The sequence below is a fragment of the Homo sapiens genome, chromosome 2, assembly GCF_000001405.40.
Source record: "Homo sapiens chromosome 2, GRCh38.p14 Primary Assembly".
NCBI lineage: Eukaryota > Metazoa > Chordata > Mammalia > Primates > Hominidae > Homo > Homo sapiens.
Genome location: NC_000002.12, coordinates 73389221 through 73411303, shown reverse-complemented (window position 1 = coordinate 73411303; position 22083 = coordinate 73389221). Strand labels below are relative to the sequence as shown.

At 38.3% G+C, this 22083-nt stretch overlaps 1 protein-coding gene across 2 annotated transcripts in view; it reads right to left on the bottom strand.

Annotated features, from left to right (window-relative positions):
• The window catches only part of ALMS1 (ALMS1 centrosome and basal body associated protein), a 224162-nt gene that overhangs the window by 198616 nt on the left and 3463 nt on the right, over positions 1–22083 (bottom strand). For both annotated transcript variants that reach the window (NM_015120.4, NM_001378454.1), the window contains 1 exon segment: positions 2557–2682. In NM_015120.4, the coding sequence (NP_055935.4) occupies positions 2557–2682 (126 nt within the window).

Genomic DNA, 22083 nt, shown 5'->3' with positions numbered 1-22083 from the left:
CTACTTCTACCTTCTGGAAGCCCCAGGCATTCCCTGGATGTGGCAGCATAATTCCAATTTCTGCCTCCATCTTCACACGGCCATCTTCTCCTTGTATGTTTTTCTCCTCACATGGTGCTTTCCTCTTTCATAAGGACACCAGTTAGATTGGATTAAGAGCAAACCCTACTCCAGTGTGAGCTTAAATAATTACACCTGCAATCACCAATAAGGTCACATTCTGAGGTATTGGGGATTAGGACTGCAACATATAATTTGGGAGGGCACAATTCGACCCAAAACAATCCTCTTCCATTTAATGGCCCCAGGTACTATGTTTTTTATGGTCAGGGATTGTCTTAACTACTTTGCCTCAGTGATAGTGTATCTCCCTTCCTCCATATCTTGCATCTAACAGGTAATCACTGCAATTTAAAGAAAACTGAAGGTAATAGGAGAAATCTGATACTCAAGTTATTAATCAACCTTAAATATTTAACCATTATTAGTAACACTAATAACATTTTTCCTCCAATAACTCTACATGAGCTTTTTTCCTATCTGCTCATGATCGTTTCATTTCTTCAAAGTTTATAACTATGTTCTAGAAAAGTGGTTCTCAAAGTGTAGTCCAAAAATCCCTGAGGGTCACTGACACCCTTTCAGGGACTGAATGACAGCCTCCTTTCCCTAACTCCTTTTTCATCTATGTAAGGCAAGATTGTCTTCATATACTTCAACCAAAACAATACATCCCAACAAATGAAATGCAGAGCAGACTGAGAATCCAGCTATGATAGGTAATTTATGTATCAAAATGACTGGATCATGGAGTGTCCAGATACTTGGTTAAACACAATTTTGGATACGTCTGTGAGGTGTGTGTATGTGTGTGGTATTTTTTGTTTTGTTTTCTTGGGTTTTTTTGCTTTTTTTTGAGACAAGTCTTGCTCCATCGCCCAGGATGGAGTGCAGTGGCGCAACCTCAGCTCACTGCAACCTCCACCTCCTGGGTTCAAGCGATTCTCTTGCCTCAGCCTCCCAAGTAGCTGCAATTACAGGTGTGCACCACCACGCCTGGCTAATTTTTGTATTTTTAGTAGAGACAGTGTTTCACTATGTTGGCCAGGCTGGTCTTGAACTCCTGACCTCAGGTGATCCACCCACCTCAGCCTCCCAAAGTGCTGGGATTACAGGCGTTAGCCACTGTTCCTGGCCTGTGAGGTGTGTATGAATGAGATTAACATTTGAATCTGGAAACTAAGTAAAGCAGGTTACCCTCTCCAATGTGGGTAGGCCTGATCCAGTACCTTGAAGGCCTAAATACAACAAAAGGCTGAGCAAGAGAGAATGTGTTCTCTCTGCCTGATGGTCTTCCAGCTGGAGGGTATTCTACCTGCAGATTCAGATCAAAACTTACATCACTGGTGCTCCTGGTTCTCAAGCCTTTGGACTTGAATTGGAACTATACCATCAGCCCTCCTGGGGCTCCAGCTTGCAGATCTTGGGACTTCTCAGTCTTCATGATCACATAAGCCAATTCTATATAATAAATATCAATAAAGATATATATATACACATACACACAGATGTGTATAAATAGATAGATGTATCTATCTCCAACCTATTGGTTCTGTTTCTCTGGAGAACCCTGAATAATATACCAACTGAGTTCTAGTAAGCCGGAATTTAAACAATGCTATTCTTCCAACTAATTTTTTTGTTTTGGAAAACAGTCATTTTTTACTTTAAAATATACTATTTATGGTAATATGTAATAGGTTTGTTCTTTCAAAATAAATTTTAAAATAGTTTTAAATGTTTTAATTTCTTGTATGCTAAATATCTATATAGATAATCCACATAAACAAAAGCTCTTAAGAATACTTGTGAAGAATATAAAGAGTCCTGAGGACAGGCACAGTGGCTCATGCCTGTAATCTCATAGTTTTAGGAGGCCGAGGCAAGAGGATCACTTAAGGCCAGGAATGAGAGACCAGCCCAGTAAACACAGAGACTCCCATCTCTATAAAAAATTTTTAAACTAAAAATAAAAATAAGAGTCCTGAGACCCGCCTTCAAAAAAAGTGAACTGCTCTTCTACATATACATAAAGTTTACAACAATCTATTAGAAAAATAGAATATTTGGCCAAGAGTGGTGGCTCACTCCTGTAATCCTAGCACTTTGGGAGGCCAAGGCGAAGGATCATTTGAGGCCAAGAGCTCAAGACCAGCCTGGGCAACAAAGCGAGACTCCATCTATAAAAAATTTTTTAAAAATAATTAGGTGGGTTTGATGGTATATGTCTGTAGTCCCAGCTACTCAAGAGGCTCAGGCAGGAGGATCACTTGATCCTAGAAGTTGGAGGGTGCAGTAAGCTATGATCATGCCACTGCCCTCCAGCCTGGGTGACAGAGTGAGACCCTGTCTTAAAAAAAAAAAAAAAAAAAAAAAAAAGACAAGAAAACATAATATTAATGAATATTAATTTATTTTTCCATTCTTCATAGCTAAATCAGAATTTCTTGTGCTGCTTATCAAAAAAAAAAAGTTAGCCAGTTACAGAAGACATACCTGATCATCCCCAGAACCCCGCTGAGCTGTTGTTTCCAAACAGACCACATTAGTATCAGAAATTTGTGTTCTACTATTGCCTTGATATACTATCTGTTGCCATACATGACAGGTCAATGGAACAATCTGAAAATCAAAAGCAGGCTTAAATAGAGTAATAACACAATCACTATGATTATACAACAAAAATAAACTAATATTTAGACCATACTTCCCAGTTTATAAAGCCCTTTCACATATACGACATTTTGATTTCACAACCATTATACAAGCTATTATCCTTAAGGTTACTCAGTTAGGACACAGCATACTTTTGCATAAACCACAGCAGTTCCTTAACCTCCTTTACCCATAGAGGTAAAAGCAGCAAACAGAAACAAGCAAGTTGTCTATTTTTAAATCTTACTGGTTGAGACAGTTAAAAATCAACCCCAATAATAGGGACTGAAATCAACTCATAGCACAAGAAGTGGGAACAAAAGTCAGAATCATTTTGTGAAGTAAGGGGTTGGAGCAGCGCTCTCCTACTAGTGAAAGAAGGCAATAAACGTTGTGACCATAGCCAAAGGCTGAAGGAACACAAATGGACAGATTACAGGCAATAAAACAAAAATGACCTGGTCAAGCCACCCACTGGTTCAGGGACTGGTTCTTGAGATTTTTCCCAATAACCCTGAAGAATAAGAACCCAGAGCTTCCAATATAAGATTTCCTTCTAAAGAAGATGCCATAAAGGACAAAGCAGAAACAACCACAAAAAGAGCAGGTAGAGAAGAATGCACACAAAGAGAAAAAAAAAATAACCCTCTTACTAAAAATCCGATTACAAACTATACTTCCAAAGGACTTTAAAATAGTATCTCAGATCCTCGAACAGACAAAGAAAGATACAAGGTGCACAGTGGCTCACACCTGTAATCCCAGCACTTTGGGAGGCCAAGGCAGGAGGATTACCTGAGGTCAGGAGTTCCAGACCAGCCTGGCCAACATAGCAAAACCCCGTCTCTACTAAAAATACAAGAATTAGCTGGGCATGATGGCATGCACCTGTAAAAGGGAAAATTAAAACATTCACAAAAGCTGAGAGAGTTCATTACCACTAGACCTCACCTGGAAGAAATGCTAATGGCAGTCCTTCAAGCTGAAATTAAAGGATGCTAGATAGTAACTTTAAGCCATAGGAAAATATAAAGTTCTCTGGTAAAGGTAAATATATGGACAAATATAAAAACATTATTTTAATTCTGGTGAGTAACTCCACCTTAATTCTTTTATAGGATTTAAAAGACAAAAGCATAAAAATTAACTATAAATCTACATGCTATGATTTGAGTATCTGTCCCCTCTAAAACTCATGTTAAAACTTAATCCGCAATGTGGCAGTACTGAGAGGTAGAACCTTTCAGAGGTGACTGGGTCATCAGGGATCTGGGCTCTCATGAATGAATTAATCATGAGGGCAGATCTGAACGGCTTAATGACTTGATGGATTAATGGATTAATGGCTTATCATGAGAGTGGACTGGTAGCTTTATAAGAAGAGGAAGAGAGACCTGAGCTAGCATGCCCAACCCCCTCACCATGTGCCCTGCACCACCTCAGGATTCTGCAGAGTCCCCATCAGCAAGAAGGCCCTCATCAGGCCCTCACCCTTGACCTTGGATTTCTCAGCCTCCATAACTTTTTAAAATAAACTACCCAGTTTCAAGTATTGTTATAAGCAAGAGAAAACAAACTAAGAAAGTATGTTAATGGTTAAACAATATATAAACATGTTACTTGTGACACCAGTAAAATGTTGTTAACAGGGTACTAATAACTTTGGCCAGGTGCGGTGGCTCATGCCTGTAATCCAGCACTTTGGGAGGCAAGGCAAGTGGATCACTTGAGGTCAGGAGTTTGAGACCAGCCTGGCCAACAATGGCGAAACCCCATCTCTGCTAAAAATGTAAACATTAGTCAGGCATGGTGGCCTGTGCCTGTAGTCCCAGCTACTTGGGAGACTAAGACAGGAGAACCACTTGAACCCGGGAGGTGGAGGTTGGGGGGCAAAGCTATAAAGGACTAGAGTTTTTATATGTGATTGAAGTGAAGTTGTTACTAGTTTAAACAGGTTGTTATCCTCCTAAGGAGTTTTATGATATTCTCATGGTAACTACAATGAAAATAGCTACAGAATATACACAAAAGGAAATAAGAGAATCAAAATATATCCCTACCAAAAAAATTGACTAAACACAAAGAAAGAAGGGGAGGAAATGAAAAACAAGCTATGAAAGGACAAAGAAATTACCAAAAAAAAAAAAAAAAACCCATAGGATTAAAAAACAGGACCCAACTATATGCTGTTTAAAAGACACTTTGGAACTAAGGACACACACAGGCTCTAAGTAAAAAGATTCAAAAAGATATTCCATGCAAATGGTAACCAAAAGAGAGCAATAGCGGCAACACTAATATCAGAGAAAATACATTTTTAAACAAAACTGATACCATAGACAAAGGAGAACACTATGGGGTCAATGCACAAATAAGATATAATAATTATATATGTGTCAGACATTGGAGCTCCTAAATACTTAAAGCAAACATTGATAAAATTGAAGGGAGCTCTCCAAAAACAGTGAGAGACTTCAATAACCAACTTTCCATGATGGATAGAATGAGATCAATAAGGAAAGAAAAGACCTGAACAGCACTACAGACCAATTGGACCTAACATACATATACAGAACACTCCACCCAACAACAGCACAATATACATTCTTCTCAAGTGCACGTGAAACATTCCCCAGGATACACCACATGTTGGCCACAAAGTATTAGGTATCTTTTCTGATCACAACAGAATGAAACTAGAAGGTAGCTGCAGAAAGAAAAGTGGAAAATCAAGAAATTTATAGAAATTAAACAACAAACTCTTAAAAAGACAATGGGTCACGACAGAAGTAACAAAGGAAATAATACATTAAGACAAAAATTAAAGCACAAAATACCAAAGCTTATTGAATGTAGCAAAAGTAGGACTAAGAAGGTAATCTACAGTCGTAAATGCCTATATTTAAAAAAAAAAATTCATGTCAATAATCTAACATTACACCTTGAAGAACTAGAAAAAGAAACTAAACCCAAAGTGATCAGAAGGAAAAAATAAGATTAGAGCAAAGATAAAGAAAAGAGAATAGAAAAACAGTAGGAAAAAAATCAAGAAAACCAATAGTTATTTGAAAATATAAACAAAACTGACAAACCTTTAGCTAGACTGACTGAGAAAAAAAAAGGCCTCAAATAACTAAATTCAGAAATGAAAGAGGGGACATGACAACCAATGCCATAGAAATAAAAAGGATCATAGGAGAATACTATGAACAACTGTACTCCAACTAATTGGACAGCCTAGAAGAAACAGATCAATTCCTAGAAACACACAGCCTACCAAGACTGAGTAACATGAAAAAATAAGAAAATCTCAACAGACCAACAACAAGGAAATTGAATCAATAATCCAAAACCTCCCACAAAAGAAAAGCCCATGGCCAGGCGCAGTGGCTCACACCTGTAATCCCAGTACTTTGGGAGGCCAAGGCAGGAGAAATGCTTGAGCTCAGGAGTTAGAGACCAGCCTGGGCAACATGGTGAGATCCTGTCTCTACTAAAAATACAACGAAAATAGCTGGACATGGTGGTGCTTGCCTGTGGTAACAGTTACTTGGGAGGCTGAGGTAGGAGGACTGCTTGAGCCTGGAGGGCAGAGGTTGCAGTGAGCTGAGATTGCACCACTGCACTCCAGCCTGGGTGACAAAGTAAGACCCTGTCTCAAAAAAAAAAAAAAAAAAAAAAAAAAAAAAGGTCCAGGACAAGAAAGCTTCACTGGAGAATTCTACCATACATTTAAAGAAGAATTAACACCAATCCTCCTGAAACAATCCCAAAAAATTGCACAGGAGGGAACATTCCAAATCATTCTATGAGGCCAGCATTATCCTGATACCAAAGTCAGACAAAGACATTAGAAGACTATAAACCAGTATCCCCGACGACTATTGATGTAAAAATCCTCAACAAAATATTACCAATAAGAATTCAGCAGTACGTTAAAAGGATTACACACCATGACCAAGTGGAATTCGTGGAATACAAGGATGGTTCAACATACAAAAATTGATCAATGTAATACACCACATTAATGGAAGGACAAAAACCACATGATCATCTCAAATGAAACCGAAATAGCACTTCACAAAATTCAACACCCTTTCATTATTTAAAAAAAAAAAAAGTCAACAGACTATAAACAGAAGAAAACTACCTCAACATAATAAAAGCTGTATGTCCCACAGCTCATATCATACTCAATGGTGAAAAACTGAAAACATTTCCTCTAAGATCAGAAGCAAGACAAAGATGCTTGCTCTCACCCTTCTACTCAACATAGCACTGGAAATCCTACTAAAGCGATTAGGCAAGAAAAAGAAATATAAATTGAAAGGAAAAAGTCCTATATACTGAAAACCCCCAAAGACTAAAATCGACACTGTTAGAATGAATAGGCCAGGCACAGTGGCTCACACCTGTAATCCCAGCACTTTGGGAGGCCAAGGCGGGTGGATCACTTGAGGTCAGGAGTTTGAGACCACCCTGACCAGCAATGGTGAAACCCCATCTCTGCTAAAAATGTAAACATTAGCCAGGTGTGGCAGCGCGCCTGTAGTCCTAGCTATTTGCGAAGCTGAGGCAGGAGAATCACTTGAACCCAGGAGGTGGAGGTTGCAGTGAGCAGGGATCGAGCCACTGCACTCCACCCTGGGCAACAGAGTGAGACTCTGTCTCAAAAAGAAAAAAGAATAAACCCAGTAAAGCCGCAGGATACAAAATCAATATATGAAAATCAGTTGCACTTCTGTACACAAATAACTACTTATATGAAAAAGAAATCAAGAAAACCATCCCACTTATGATAGCATCAAAAAACAAAATAAAAAGACTTAGAAATAAATGTAACCAAGAAGGCAAAAGATCTGTCTACTGAAAACTACAATACTAATGAAAGAAATTAAGGACACAAATAAATAGAAAGATATTCCATGTTCACAGACTGAAATAATTAATATTGTTAAAATGTATGTACTATCCAAAGCAATACAAAGTCAACACAATCCTTATGAAAATGCCAATGGCATTTTTCACAAAAATAGAAAAAAAAATCTAAAATTCATATAGAACCACAAAAGACTCTAAAGAGCCAAAGTAATTCTGTAAGACAAAAACAAAGTTGGAGGAAGCACACTTCCTGGTTTCAAATTATATTACAAAGTTATAGTAACCCAAACAGTGTGGTACTGGCATAAAAAGTAGACATGTAAACCAATGGAACAGAATAGAGAGAGAAAAATAAACCCAAGCATATATGATTCGCTAATTTTTGACAAGGGCACCAAGAAGACACAATAGGGAATAGAAGATCTCTTCAAATAATGGTGCTGAGAAAATTAAATTTCCTCATGCAAAAGAATGAAATTGGACCTTTATCTTACACCACCAGCAAAAATCAACTCAAAGTTGATTAAAGAACTCAACATGAAGACTTAAAACCATAAACCTAGAAGAAAATATATGGGAAAAACTCCTTGACACTTGTCTTGGCAATGTTGTTTTGGATATCACAACAAAAGCTCAGGCTACAAAAGCAAAAATAAATAAATAGAACTAAATCAAGCTAAAGAGTTTCACATCTAAGTAAACAATCAACAAAATGAGAAGACAGTCTACTACAGATGAGAAAATATCTGCAAACCATATATCTGATAAGGAGTCAGTTTCCACAATATATAAAGAACTTGTGCAACTCAGTAGAAGAAAAACAAACAACCTAATTTTAGAATGGGCAACGGACCTGAACAAACATTTCTCCAAAACAGAAAAAAAGAAAAGAAAAATGGCCAATCAGCATATGAAAAGATATTCAATATTACTATCATCAGGGAAATGCAAATTAAAACCAAAATGAAATATCATCTCACACTTGTTAGGATGGCTATTATTTAAAAAACAAAAAGATTCAAGAGATAAGTGTTGGCAAGGGTGTGGAAAAAAGAGAACCCTTGTACACTGCTGGTGGCAATGTAAACCAGTGCAGCAATTGCGGAAAACAGTATAAAGTTTTCTAAAGTAATTAAAAATAGAACTACGACTGGGCGCGGTGGCTCGTGCCTGTAATCCAAACACGGTGGGAGGATCACTGAGGTTAGGAGTTTGAGACCAGCTTGGCCAACATGACGAAACCCCGCCTCTATTAAAAATACAAAAATTAACCAGGCAGGGTAGTGCACACCTGTAACCCCAGCTACTCAGGAGGCTGAGACACAAGAATCGCTTGAACTCGGGAGGCGGAGGTTGCAGTGAGTTGAGAACACACCGCTGTACTCCAGCCTGAGCAACAGAGCGAGATTCTGTCTTAAAAAAAAAAAAAAAAAAAAAGAGAGAGAGAAAGAAAGAAAAGAAAGAAAAGGACTACTTTTCTTGTATGACCTAGCAATTCCATTTCTGGGTAAAAACCTAAAGAAAATGAAACCACCACCTCATACAGATACCTGCACTCCCATGTTCACTGCAGCATTATCACAATAGCCACGAACACAACTACAGCATCCATTGATGAATGAATAAACTACAAGACACACACACATACACTCACACTCACACACACACACACATAACACACACACACATACACACGAGGAGGGGAAGGGGGAGGAATATTATTCAACCTTAAAAAGGAAGGTGATCCTGCCATTTGTCACATGAATAAACCTGGAAGATAGAAAAATACTGCATGATCTCACTTACATATGAAATCTATTTTTTAAAGTCAAGTACAAAGAAGTAGAAGTGAGGAACAGGGGAGGAAATGGGGAGATGCAGGTCAGAGGATTCAAAGTTGCAGGTATGATGGATCAGCAAGTTTAGCAATTCAACGTAAAATATAAGTACTATAGTTAATAATATTGTATTATATTTAGGATTCTTGCTAAAAGGATTTTAGAAGCTCTTGCCACAAAAAAAAAAAGGCAGTAACTATGTGAGATCACGAATATGTTAATTTGCTTGACTATGGCAACCATTTCACTAGGTATATGTATATCAAAACATCATGATGTATAAATATATACAATAAAGGAAAAAATAAACTAGAAATCAATAACAGAAAAATAGCTGGAAAATCCCAACATACTTAAGAGGTTAAACAGTGTATTTCTAAATAGCATGTGGGTCAAATAAAAACTCTCAAAAGAAATTTAAAAATATTTCAACTAAATGAAAGTAAGAATACAACTTATCAAAATTTGTGATGCAGCAAAAGTAGTGCTTACTGGGAAATTTATAACACCGAATGTATATATTAGGAAAAAAATCTGAAATCAATTATCAAAGCTTCCAACTTAGGAAACTAGAAAAAGAAGAATAAATCATATTTAAAGTGAGGAGAAGAAAATAAATAAAAAGTAGAGCAGAAATCAATGAAATTGAGAATAGCAAATAAAGAGAGAAAATCAGTAAAAGCTTAAATGCTGGTTCTTTTGAAAAGATCAATAAAATCAATAAACCTCTGGCCAGGCTAATAAAATAAGATAAAGGATGCAAATTATGAACATCAAAAATGAGGCCAGGTATGGTAGCTCACTCTTGTTATCCCAGCACTTTGGAAGGCCAGGGTGGGCAGATCACTTGAGGCCAGGAGTTTGAGACCAGCCTGGCCAAAGTGGCGAAACCCTAAATCTACTAAAAATGCAAAAATTAGCCGGGCATAGTGGCACACACCTATAATCCCAGCTACTCAGGTGGCTGAGGCACAAGAATCGCTTGAACCCAGGAGGCAGAGGTTGCAGTGAGGGAGACTGCGCCATTGCACTCCTGCCTCGGTGACACAGCAAGACTCTGTCTCAAAAAAAAGAAAAAAGAAAGAGAGGACATCACAACAGATCTCATGGACATTAAAAGGATAATAAAGGAACACTATAAACAACTCTATGCCCACAAATTTGATAGCCTAGATAAAATGAACGATTTCTTAAAAAAGATAATCTGTCAAATCTGACACAAAAATAGACAAAATGAAGAGGCCTATATCTATTCGAAACACTGAATCATAAATTAATAGCCTTCTAAAACAGAAAGCACCAGACCCAGACAGGTTCACTGGTAATGCTACCAAACCCTGAAGGAGGAAATTGTACCAGTTCTCTAAAATCTCTCAGAAGACAGAATCAGAGAGAATACTTCTTAATCATTCTATGAAGTCTGTATTACCCTACTGCCAATACCAGACAAACATATTACCAAAAAAGAAAACAACAGACCATTATCTCCCATGAATATCAATGTAAAAATTCTCAGCAAAATATTAGCAAATCAAATTTAACAATGTACAAAAGTATTGTACATCATGACAAGTGGGTTTATCCCACGTACGCAAACTTGATTCAACATTCAAAAGTCAGTTAAGGCTGGACACAGTGGCTCCCACCTGTAATTCCAGCACTTTGAGAGGCCAAGGTGAGCAGATCACTTGAGCTCAGGAGTTCGAGACCAGCCTGGGCAACAAAGTGAGACCCCCCTCTGCCACCTCTAAAAAAAATACAAAAATTAGCCTGGTATGGTGGCACATGCCTGTGGTCCCAGTTACTCAGGAGGGTGAAGTAGGAGGACGGCTTGAGCCTTGGAGGCAGAGGTTGCAGTGAGCCAAGATGGCAACACTGCACTCTAGCCTGGGTGACAACGCCAGACCCTGTCTCAAAAAAAAAAAAAAAAAAACAATTAATATAATCCATCATGTTGACAAGCTTTAGAAGAAAAACCACATGATCATATAACAGATGCAGAAAAAACATTTGACAACCTCTTCACGATATTCTCATTAAAATAGGAATAGAGGGGAATATTCTCAACTTGACATAGAGTATCTACAAAAAATCCTACAACTAATATCATACCTAATGAAACTCGAAGCTTTGCCTCTAAGATCAAGAACAAGGCAAGGATTCCCTCTCTGATATGATTTGGATATCTGTCCCTTTCAAATCTCATATTGAAATGTAATCCCCAGTGTTGGAGGTGGGGTCTGGTACAAGGTGACTGGATCATGGGGGCAGATCCTTCATGATTAGTTTAACACCATTCCCTTAGTGATAAGTGAGCGCTCACTCTAAGTTCACACAAGACCTGGTTGTTTAAAAGAGTGGCACCTCCTCCCTTGCTCTCTGGCTTCTGCTCTCGCCATGTGAGACGCCTGCCCCCACTTCACCTTCCACCATGATTGTAAGCTCACCAGAAGCAGATGCTGGCACCAAGCTTCTCATACTCTGCAGAACCATGAGCCAATTAAACTTCTTTTCATTGTAACTTACCCAGCCTCAGGTGTTTCTTCATAGCAACACAATGACGACATAATACACCCTCTCACCACTGTCCAACAGTGTATTGGAGGTCATAGCTAATGCAATAAGACAAGAAAAGGAAATAAAAGGTACACAGTCTGGGAAGGAGGAAATAAAACTCTGTTTGCAGATGACATGACTGTCTGTCTATACAGAAAATCCAGGCCAGGCGCAGTGGCTCACGCCTGTAATCCCAGCACTTTGGGAGGCTGAGAAGGGCAGATCACAAGGTCAGGAGTTTGAGACCAGCCTGGCCAACATAGTGAAACTCCATCTCTACTAAAAATACAAAAAAAACAAAAATTAGCCAGGCATGGTGGCAGGCGCCTGTAATCCCAGCTACTCAGAAGGCTGAGGCAGGAGAATCGCTTGAACCCGGGAGGCAGAGGTTGCAGTAAGCTGAGATCACACCACTGCACTCCAGCCCGGGTGACAGTGCCAGACTCCATCTCAAAAAAAAAGAAAATCCAAAAGAACTGACAAAACTTTCCTGGAATTAATAAGTAAAACTAGCAAAACTGCAGAATATAGGTTAATATATAAAAGTCAATCACTTCCTGTATACCAGCAATCAAGTGGAATTTGAAGTTAAAAGTACAATAATACCATTTACATTAACAACCCAAGAAATAAAATATTTAGGTATAAATCTAACTTAATACATGTAAGATCTATATGAGGAAAACTATAAAACTCGATGAATGAAATCAAAGAACTAAATAAATGAGAAGGTATTTCAACTTCATGAAATACTCAATATTGTCAAGATGTCAGTTCTTCCCAACTTGATCTATTAAGATCAACGCAATCCCAATCAAAATCCCAGCAATTTTTAATACACATCAATGAATTCAATCTAAAGTTTATATGGAGGGGCAAAAGACTCCGAATTGGAGGACTGACACTACCTAACTTCAAGACTTACCATAAAGCTACAGTAATAAAGACAGCATGTATCAACGAAATAGACACATTGATCAATAAAACAGAATTGAAGGCCCAGAAATAGACCCATATAAATGTATTCAATTGATTTTTTGACCAAAAAACGAAGGCAATACAATGGAGAAAGTCTTCTCAACAAATGGTGCTGGAACAACTGGACATTTACATGCAAAACAATGAACCCAGAAACAGATCTGACATCCTTCACACACAAAAATTAATTCAAAGTGCAAAAGTATAAAAAGACCTAAATGCAAAGTGCAAAAGTATAAAACTCCTAGAAGATAACATAGGAGAAAATCTAGATGTCCTTGGGTTTGGTGATGGCTTTTTGGATACAATACTAAAGGCATATAATCTATGAAAGAAATAATTGATAAGCTGGATTTAATTAAAAACTTATTCTGCTTTGTGAAAAACACTGTCAAAAGAATAAAAAGACAAGCTATAGACTGGAAGAAAATATTTGCAAAAGACACATCTCTGATTCAGGATGTTAACAGTGAGGGAGGCTATGGAGAGGGGCAGGGCACAGATGGGAACTCTGTATTGCCCATTCAATGTGGCTGTGAACCTAAAACTGCCCTAAAAGATAAAGTCTGTTTAAAAGCAAAACCGCACGCCTGTAATCCCAGCACTCTGGGAGGCCGAGGCAGGTGGATCACCTGAAGTCAGGAGATCGAGACCAGCCTAACATGGTGAAATCCCATCTCTACTGAATACAAGAAAAATAATTAGCTGAGCGTGGTGGCATATGCCTGTAAACCCAGCTACTCAGGAGGCTGAGGCAGGAGAATCACTTGAATCCGGGAGGCAGAGGTTGCAGTGAGCCAAGATAATGCCATTGCATTCCAGCCTAGGCAACAAGAGCGAAACACCATCTCAAAAACAAAACAAAACAAAAAAACCCCAAAACAGAGGTCTGGTGAAGCATATAAAGAGCTTGGAAGTAATCACTCCCATCCCCATCATAAAAAAAAAAAGCTGAACAAACTAAAAAATCAAAACTCTTCTTATATCCATCAGAGAACTGAGATGAAGGGCAAACTATTGTTCCAAAAATTGGAGAGGTACATACACAGAGAATCACAACTTACCAGAGCAGAATCCCAAGAACAGAAACCACTGTGGGAACTAACTAGTACTAGGGAAGAAAAATCTAGTGTAATTGACAAATTGCTGGAGGTGCAATGCGACAACTTTGAGAATTAAAAGCCGCAGGGAAACCAGTCTTATGAAGGGCCTCCATGCTTCTGTAAGTTTTATCTCCACAACCCCTAGCATGTTACCACAGTTAAGATGAGAGAAAAATACCTACCCCCCAGTTAGGGGGAGGGGGTTGGGGATAACCATTTTGAATATTCCCAGAGTATTTTGTTCTTCTTAGAAAACTTGCCCTCAAACTATTTTACCAGAGCCTAACCAGGCTGGGCGCGGTAGCTCAAGCCTGTAATCCTAGCACTTTGGGAGGCCGAGGAGGGTGGATCACGAGGTCAGGAGATCGAGACCATCCCGTCTAACACGGTTAAACCCCGTCTCTACTAAAAATACAAAAAATTAGCCAGGCGTGGTGGCAGGCGCCTGTAGTCCCAGCTACTTGGGAGGCTGAGGCAGAAGAATGGCATGAACCTGGGAGGCGGAGCTTGCAGTGAGCTGAGATCGCGCCACTGCACCCCCAGCCTGTGCGACAGAGCAAGACTCCGTCTCAAAAAAAAAAAAAAAGAATGGACAATCTGAATAGACCCATAAGAAGAAAAAAGAGTGATTTAGTAATTAAAATACTATGCCCCATCCTGCAAAAAAAAAAAAAAAAAAAAAGAGCTCAGACCCATTTGATGTAACCTATCGAACTTTCAAAGAATTAATGCCAGTCCTTCACAAACTCTTCCAAAACCAATAGGAATACTTTCAATTCACTTTATGAGGTCAATATTACCCTGATACCAAACCAGACAAAAGCATCAAAAGAAAACTACAGACCAATATATCTTACAAATATAGATGGAATAACTCTAAACAAAATACAAGCGTGTGTGTGTGTGTGTGTGTGTGTGTGTGTGTGTGTATTTCTATGACAGGCAACACATAAAATGTTTATACACTGTGACAAAGTGAGTTATTTTCACAAGGCTGGTTTAATAACCTAATATCAATTAATGTAATACATCGATTAATAATTTGACAAAATTATTATTAAAAACACTTAAGAAATTAGGGATAGAAACTTCATCAATATGATAAGGGCATCTATTAAAAACCCACAACTAACATCATACTCGGGGGTAAAAGACAGGATGCTTTCTCCCTAAGACAAGTTTGTCCAACCCACAGCCGAGGACCATGAATGTGGCCCAACACAAATTCGTAAACCTTCTTAAAACATTATATTTTTGCAATTTTTTTTAGCTCATCAGCTATTGTTAGTGTATTTTATGTGTGGCCCAAGACAATTCTTCCAATGTAGCCCAGAGAAGCCAAAAGATTGGACACCCCTGCCCTAAGATCAGGAATAAAAAAGCATATACACTCTTACCCCTCCTATTGAATATTTTACTAAAGGTTCTAGCCAGGGCAATTAGCCATAAATAAATACATAAAAGGCATCCAGATTGGAAAGAAAAAATAAAGCTATATATATTTGCCCTTGACATGATCTTTACAAGAAAATCATAGAGAACCCACAAATAATCTACTAGGATGAATAAACAAGTTCAGAAGAGATTCAGAAACAATATTAATATATATAAAAATCAAGTGTTTTTAAACATCTACAACGAATAACCCAAACATTCAATTAAGAAAAATAATTCCACTGACAATACCATTAAAAACAGTATTTTGAAGAATTTAAGAAAAAAAGTGCAATTCTGAAAACTATAAAACATTATTGAAATTTAAAGAAGATCTAATTACAGTTGTATGCCACATCAGAACATTTCCATCAACTACAGACCACATACATAATGGTGGTCCTATAAGATTATAATACCGGCCCAGCATGGTGGCTCACACCTCTAATCCCAGCACTTTGGGAGGCCAAGGTGGGCAGATCACTTGAGTCAGGAGTTCGGGACCAGCCTAGGCAACATGACAAAACCCCATCTCTACTAAAAATACAAAAATTAGCCAGGCATGGTGGCACACACCTGTAATCCCAGCTACTCAGGAGGCTGACATGAGAATCACTTGAGCCTGGGAAGCGGTGGTTGCAGTGGGCGGAGATTGTGTCACTGCACTCCAGCCTCGGTGACAGAGCGAGACTCTGTCTCAAAAAAAAAAAAAAAAAAAAATATATATATATATATATACACATATATATATATACACACACATATATATACACATATATATACACATATATATACACATATATATATACACATATATATGTAAAATACCATATTTTTACTATACCTTTTCTAAGTATTTGTGTTAGATACACAAACGTATCCAACACAAATACTTACCACAGTGTTACAACTGCCTACAGTATTCAGTACTGTAACATGCTGTACAGGTTTGTAGCCTAGGAGCAAACAGTTAGACTATATAGCCTAGGTGTGTAGTAGGCTATGCCATCTAGGTTTGTGTACGTACACTATATGATGTTTGCACAACAATGAAATACTGTAATGAAACATTTCTCAGAATGTATCCTCATCATTAATTGACACAACTATAAATGAAAGGATATCCCATGTTCATGAACCAGATGATTAGGCCAGGCACGGTGGCTCACGCCTGCAATCCCAGCACTTTGAGAGGCCAAGGCAGGTGGATCACTTGAAGTCAGGAGTTCGAGACCAGCCTGGTCAACATGGTGAAACCCCGTCTCCACTAAAAATACAAAAATAAACCAGGGATGGTGGTGTGCATCTGTAATCCCAGTTACTGGAGGCTGAGGCAGGAGAACTGCTTGAACCCAGGAGGCAGAGGTTTCAGTGAGCTGAGATTGCACCACTGCACTCCAGCCTGGGCAAGACACCATCTCAACAACAACAAAAAAAAGGACCAGATGATTTAATATCAAGATGACCATACTCCCAAATTGATCTACAGATTCATCACAATCTCTATCAAAATACTAGCTGGCTTCTTTGCAGAAACTGACAAGCTAATCTAAAATTCATATGGAATTGCAAGGGGCTCCAGAATGGCTAAAATATCTTGAAAAAGGAAAGCAAAGTTGGAGAACTCCCCCATTTCAAAACTTACTATAAAGCAATATTAATCAAAAGAGTGTCTCCTAGTCAGGCATGGTGGCTCACGCCTGTAATCCCAGCACATTGAGAGGCCGAGGTGGGCAGATGGCTTTAGCCCAAGAGTTTGAGACCAGCCTGGGCAACATGGTGAGATTCCATCCCTACAAAACCTACAAAAATTAGCCAGGCATGGTGGCATGTGCCTGTAGTTCCAGCTACTTGGTAGGCTGAGATAGGAGGTCCACTTGAGCCCAGGAGGTGGAGGTTGCAGTGAGCCGAGATTGCACCACTGCATGCACTCCAGCCTGGGCAACAAAGAGACACCTATCTCAGAAAAAAAAAAAAAAAAGTGTTTCCTGGAATAAGGTGGGCATATAGATCAATGAAATAGAATTGGGAATCCAGAAATAAACCCATATATCTATGGCTAACTGATTTTCTACAAGGGTACTAAGACCAATCAATGGGGAAAAGAACAGCCTCTTTAACAAATGGTGCTGCAGAAAGACAAACTGCCTATTCTTCCAAGTGGGAGCTAAACAACAAGTACATGTGGAAGCAGAGTATGGAATGACAGAGAGTGGAATCTTGGAAGGGTGGGGAGTGTGAGAGTGGGGTGGATGAAGAGAAATTACTTAATGAGTACAACGTAGGCTACTCCAGTGATGGATACACTAAAAGCCCTGACTTTACCGCTATGCAATATATCAATGTAACAAAATTATACTTGAACTCTATAAATTTACACAAATCAATAAAATTTAAAAAAAAAAACAGTGCTGGATAGTCACATACGAAAGAATAAAGTTTGAACCCTTTCTTCATATCGTATACAAAAATTAACTCAAAATGGATCAAAGACCTACATGTAATAGCAATACTATAAAATCTCAAAGAAAACATAGTAGGTCCTCATGACCTCACATTTGTCAAGGGACTGTATCTTGTCAATCCCTTGATTGATAAGGGATTATATATGTAATATGCATATATATAAAGAATTCTTACAATCCAATAGTAAATAGACAAATAACCCAATTAAAGAATGGGCAAAAGTTTGACCTGAATAGATATTTCTCCAAAGAAGACACACAAATGGCCAAGAAGCACATGAATAGATGCATGAACCATAAGGGAAATGCAAATCAAAACTACAAAAAAGTCAGGTAATAACAAGTGCTGATAAGGATGTGGAGAAACTGGAACTCTCATACACTGCTAATAGGAAGGCCACTTTGGAAAACAATCTGGCAGAAACTTAAAAGGTTAACAGAATTCCATATGTCCCAAAAATTCTACTCCTAGATATACATCCAAGAGAAATGAATCCATATGTCCACACATACACTTATATAAGAATGTCTACGGTAGCATTATACATAATAGCCAAAAAGGAGGAAAAAAAACATGTCCATCAACTGATGAATGGATATACAAAATATCACATATCCATATAATAAAATATTATTCAGCCATATAAAGTAATGAAGTACTGATACATGCCACATCACAGGTGAATCCTGAAACCATTAAGCTAAGTGAAAGAAGCCCAGTCACAAAAACACATATCATTCCATTTATATGAAATGCCCAAAATAGGTAAATCTATAGACAGAAGGTAGATTAATAGTTGCATATGGGGAATGGAAGACGGGGGATATCAGCTAAAGTGTATGGGGTTTCTTTTAGAAGTGATAAAATGTTCTAAAATTGACCGTGATCATGATGGCACATATCTATGAATATACAGAAAATGACTGAATTGTGCACTTTAAATTAAAGGTGAATTGTACAGTATATGAATGATATCTCAAAAAAGCTATTAAAATGTTTTTAAGTAAGTCAATTAAGCACTCAACACAAGGAAATACACACACACACACACACACACACACACACACACACATCAAAGTAAACCTAAGGAAATAGTAAAAGATGAAAACTGAACTTATTATTAAAATTAATAATTTTTAATAATTAAAAAATAAACAGCAACAGAAACTTAAATCAAGAGCTGTGTCCTTGAATGAAAAATAAATTAAATAAACCCCTACCTAGTCAAATCAGGAGAAAAATAAAGCATAATTACACAAAATTGGGAATGAGAAGTGAAAATAACCACAGAGGCAAATGAAAAAATAAAGAATACTGTGTAGCACTCCATTAAAATTAACTAGAAACCCTTACTGAAAAGAATGATTTCCTAGGAAAACCACCAAAATTAACCCAAGAAAGGAGAACATATATAGACTACAACCCTGAAAGGAATACAGAGATAGTTTAAATGGTGATATCTTTCAAACATACAAGAAAGAAAAATTCCTTTGTACTTACACTGTTCCAGAAAAACAAAAATCATCCAAGTACCTTTTATGAAAATGGCATAATATTGATGTCAAGTTTGATAAATACTGGCCAAGAAAACAAAAAACAAACAGAAAAACATTTAAAACCATTATCAAATATCTGCAAATAAAATCTAGCAGTTCCTCAAGAGAAAAGCACACTACGACTAAATAGTTTTTACCCTAGGAACACAAAACAGGATTAATATTAAGAATAAAACGTATACAAGGCCAGGCACGGTGGCTCAAGCCTGTAATCCCAGCACTTTGGGAGGCCGAGGCGGGTGTATCACGAGGTCAGGAGATGGAGACCATCCTGGCTAACACGGTGAAACCCCGTCTCTACTAAAAATACAAAATAATAGCCGGGCGTGGTGGCGGGCGCCTGTAGTCGCAGCTACTCGGGAGGCTGAGGCAGGAGAATGGCATGAACTCGGGAGGCTGAGTTTGCAGTGAGCCGAGATTGCGCCACTGCACTCCAGCCTGGGTGACAGAGCGAGACTCCGTCTCAAAAAAAAAAAAAAAAAGAATAAAACGTATATGAATAGGTTAAAAAAATAAATTGTGCACTGTAGATAAATTTGGAGATGGGGAGCAGAAACGGGAGAGGTTCAGCCTGTGTTCTCTTCTTTGAAACTGTAACCTGCTTATGGGGGGATGTTGAACTCTGGGTGGGAGACAGAAGTTAAGAGGGAAGATGGGGAAAGAAGCTGACAGAGAGGAAACTAAAGATTTCCAAACACTGTTGGGCCGGGCGCAGTGGCTCATCACATCTGTAATGCCAGCACTTTGGGAGGCCGAGGCGGGTGGATAACCTGAGGTCAAGAGATCAAGACCATCCTGGCCAACATGGTGAAACCCCATCTCTACTAAAAATACAAAAATTAGCTGGGCATGGTGGCGCGCATCTGTAGTCCCAGCTACTGCGGAGGCTGAGGCAGGAGAATCACTTGAACCCGGGAGGCGGAGGTTGCAGTTAGCCAAGATCGGGCCACTGCCACTCCAGCCTGGTGACAAAAGCGAGAGACTCCATCTTAAAAAGAAAAAAAAAAAAGATTTCCAAGCACTGTTGATGACCCAATTAAAAGTTGGAGACCAAGAATTTCTAGTGATGCCAACCCAGAGAACTGAATTATCTTCCCCAGCACAACTCAGAAATTCAGGTTAAGGAATTACAAGAAGTGCCTGAATGGTCTGTAGGACCAGCATAAAAACAACATAAGGCTCTGAATCACTCACTTCCCTCTTAAAAAGACTTAGTTATAAGACTGGTCATATTTTGCTTCAAATTTAAACAGTATCATAGTTTAACTCAGCCTTAGTAACAGGACTACAAACTTAATCACTGCCTTATATAACACCACTATAACTCCCTTATTATCTAGTGAGATATGAGAGTAAATTGAATAACACAATTTTGTCATTTAACTTGAGAGTAAACTGGATGAAATTAATGTTTCCTATTATTTGATCTCATCCTCTAAATACGCAGCATTAGATGTTATACAACACATCTAAGAATTTCATAGTTCATAAATTTCTAGCAAGAAACATACTAAGCATTTTTTCCTTAAACACTTTCCAACCTATGCCAGTAAGTTTCAATATGCCAGTGAACTAAAGGAAAAATTATCTGAACACTCCTTGTATCATTGTAAATCTACCTTTAATACAGAAAATCATCTATATATTCTATATATTATCATATATTCTCTCAGGTAAATAAGAAAATATCTAATTTTTCTCAGGGGAAAGAAAAAACTGTGGGGAGGAAAAAATACTCTGGGCTCTCAGAAGTAAGATTTTCTATTACCCATAGATAGTTCACGATTAGAGGCCGGGCGCGGTGGCTCATGCCTCTAATCCCAACACTTTGGGAGGCTGAGGCAGGCAGATCACAGGTCAGGAGTTCAAGACCAGCCTGGCCAACATGGTGAAACCCCATCTCTACTAAAACTACAAAAATTAGCCAGGCGTGGTGGTGGATACCTGTAATCCCAGCTACTCGGGAGGCTGAGGCAGGAGAATTGCTTGAACCCAGGAGGCAGAGGTTGCAGTGAACCAAGATCGTGACACTGCACTCCAGCCTGGGCAACAGAGCAAGACTTCATCTCGGCGGGGGAAAAAAAAGATAGTTCATTATTAAACAGGAAAATAATTTTCTCACATTGGCTGTAGTAAAAGAGGGTTAGCTTAAAAATTCCTCCTCTGGGTCCCTATCTCTCACCATATGCAAAGATTAACTCAAGATAGATTAAAGATTTAAATGTAAGGCCCGAAATTATAATAATCCTAAAGAATACTTAGGAAAAAAGTTTATGATTAAGACCTCAAAAGCAAATGCAACAAAAATAAAAACAGACAAATGGAACTTAATTAAACTAGAAGAGCTCCTGCACAGCAAAATAAACTACCAACAGAGTAAACAGACAACCTACAGGATGGGAGAAAATATCTGCAAACTATGCATCTGACAAAGGACTAATATCCAGCATCTATAAGGAACTCAAACAAATCAACAGGAAGAAAAAACAAATAACCCCACTAAAAAGCGGGCAAAAGACTGAACAGACACTTCTCAAAAGAAGACATACGAGCGGC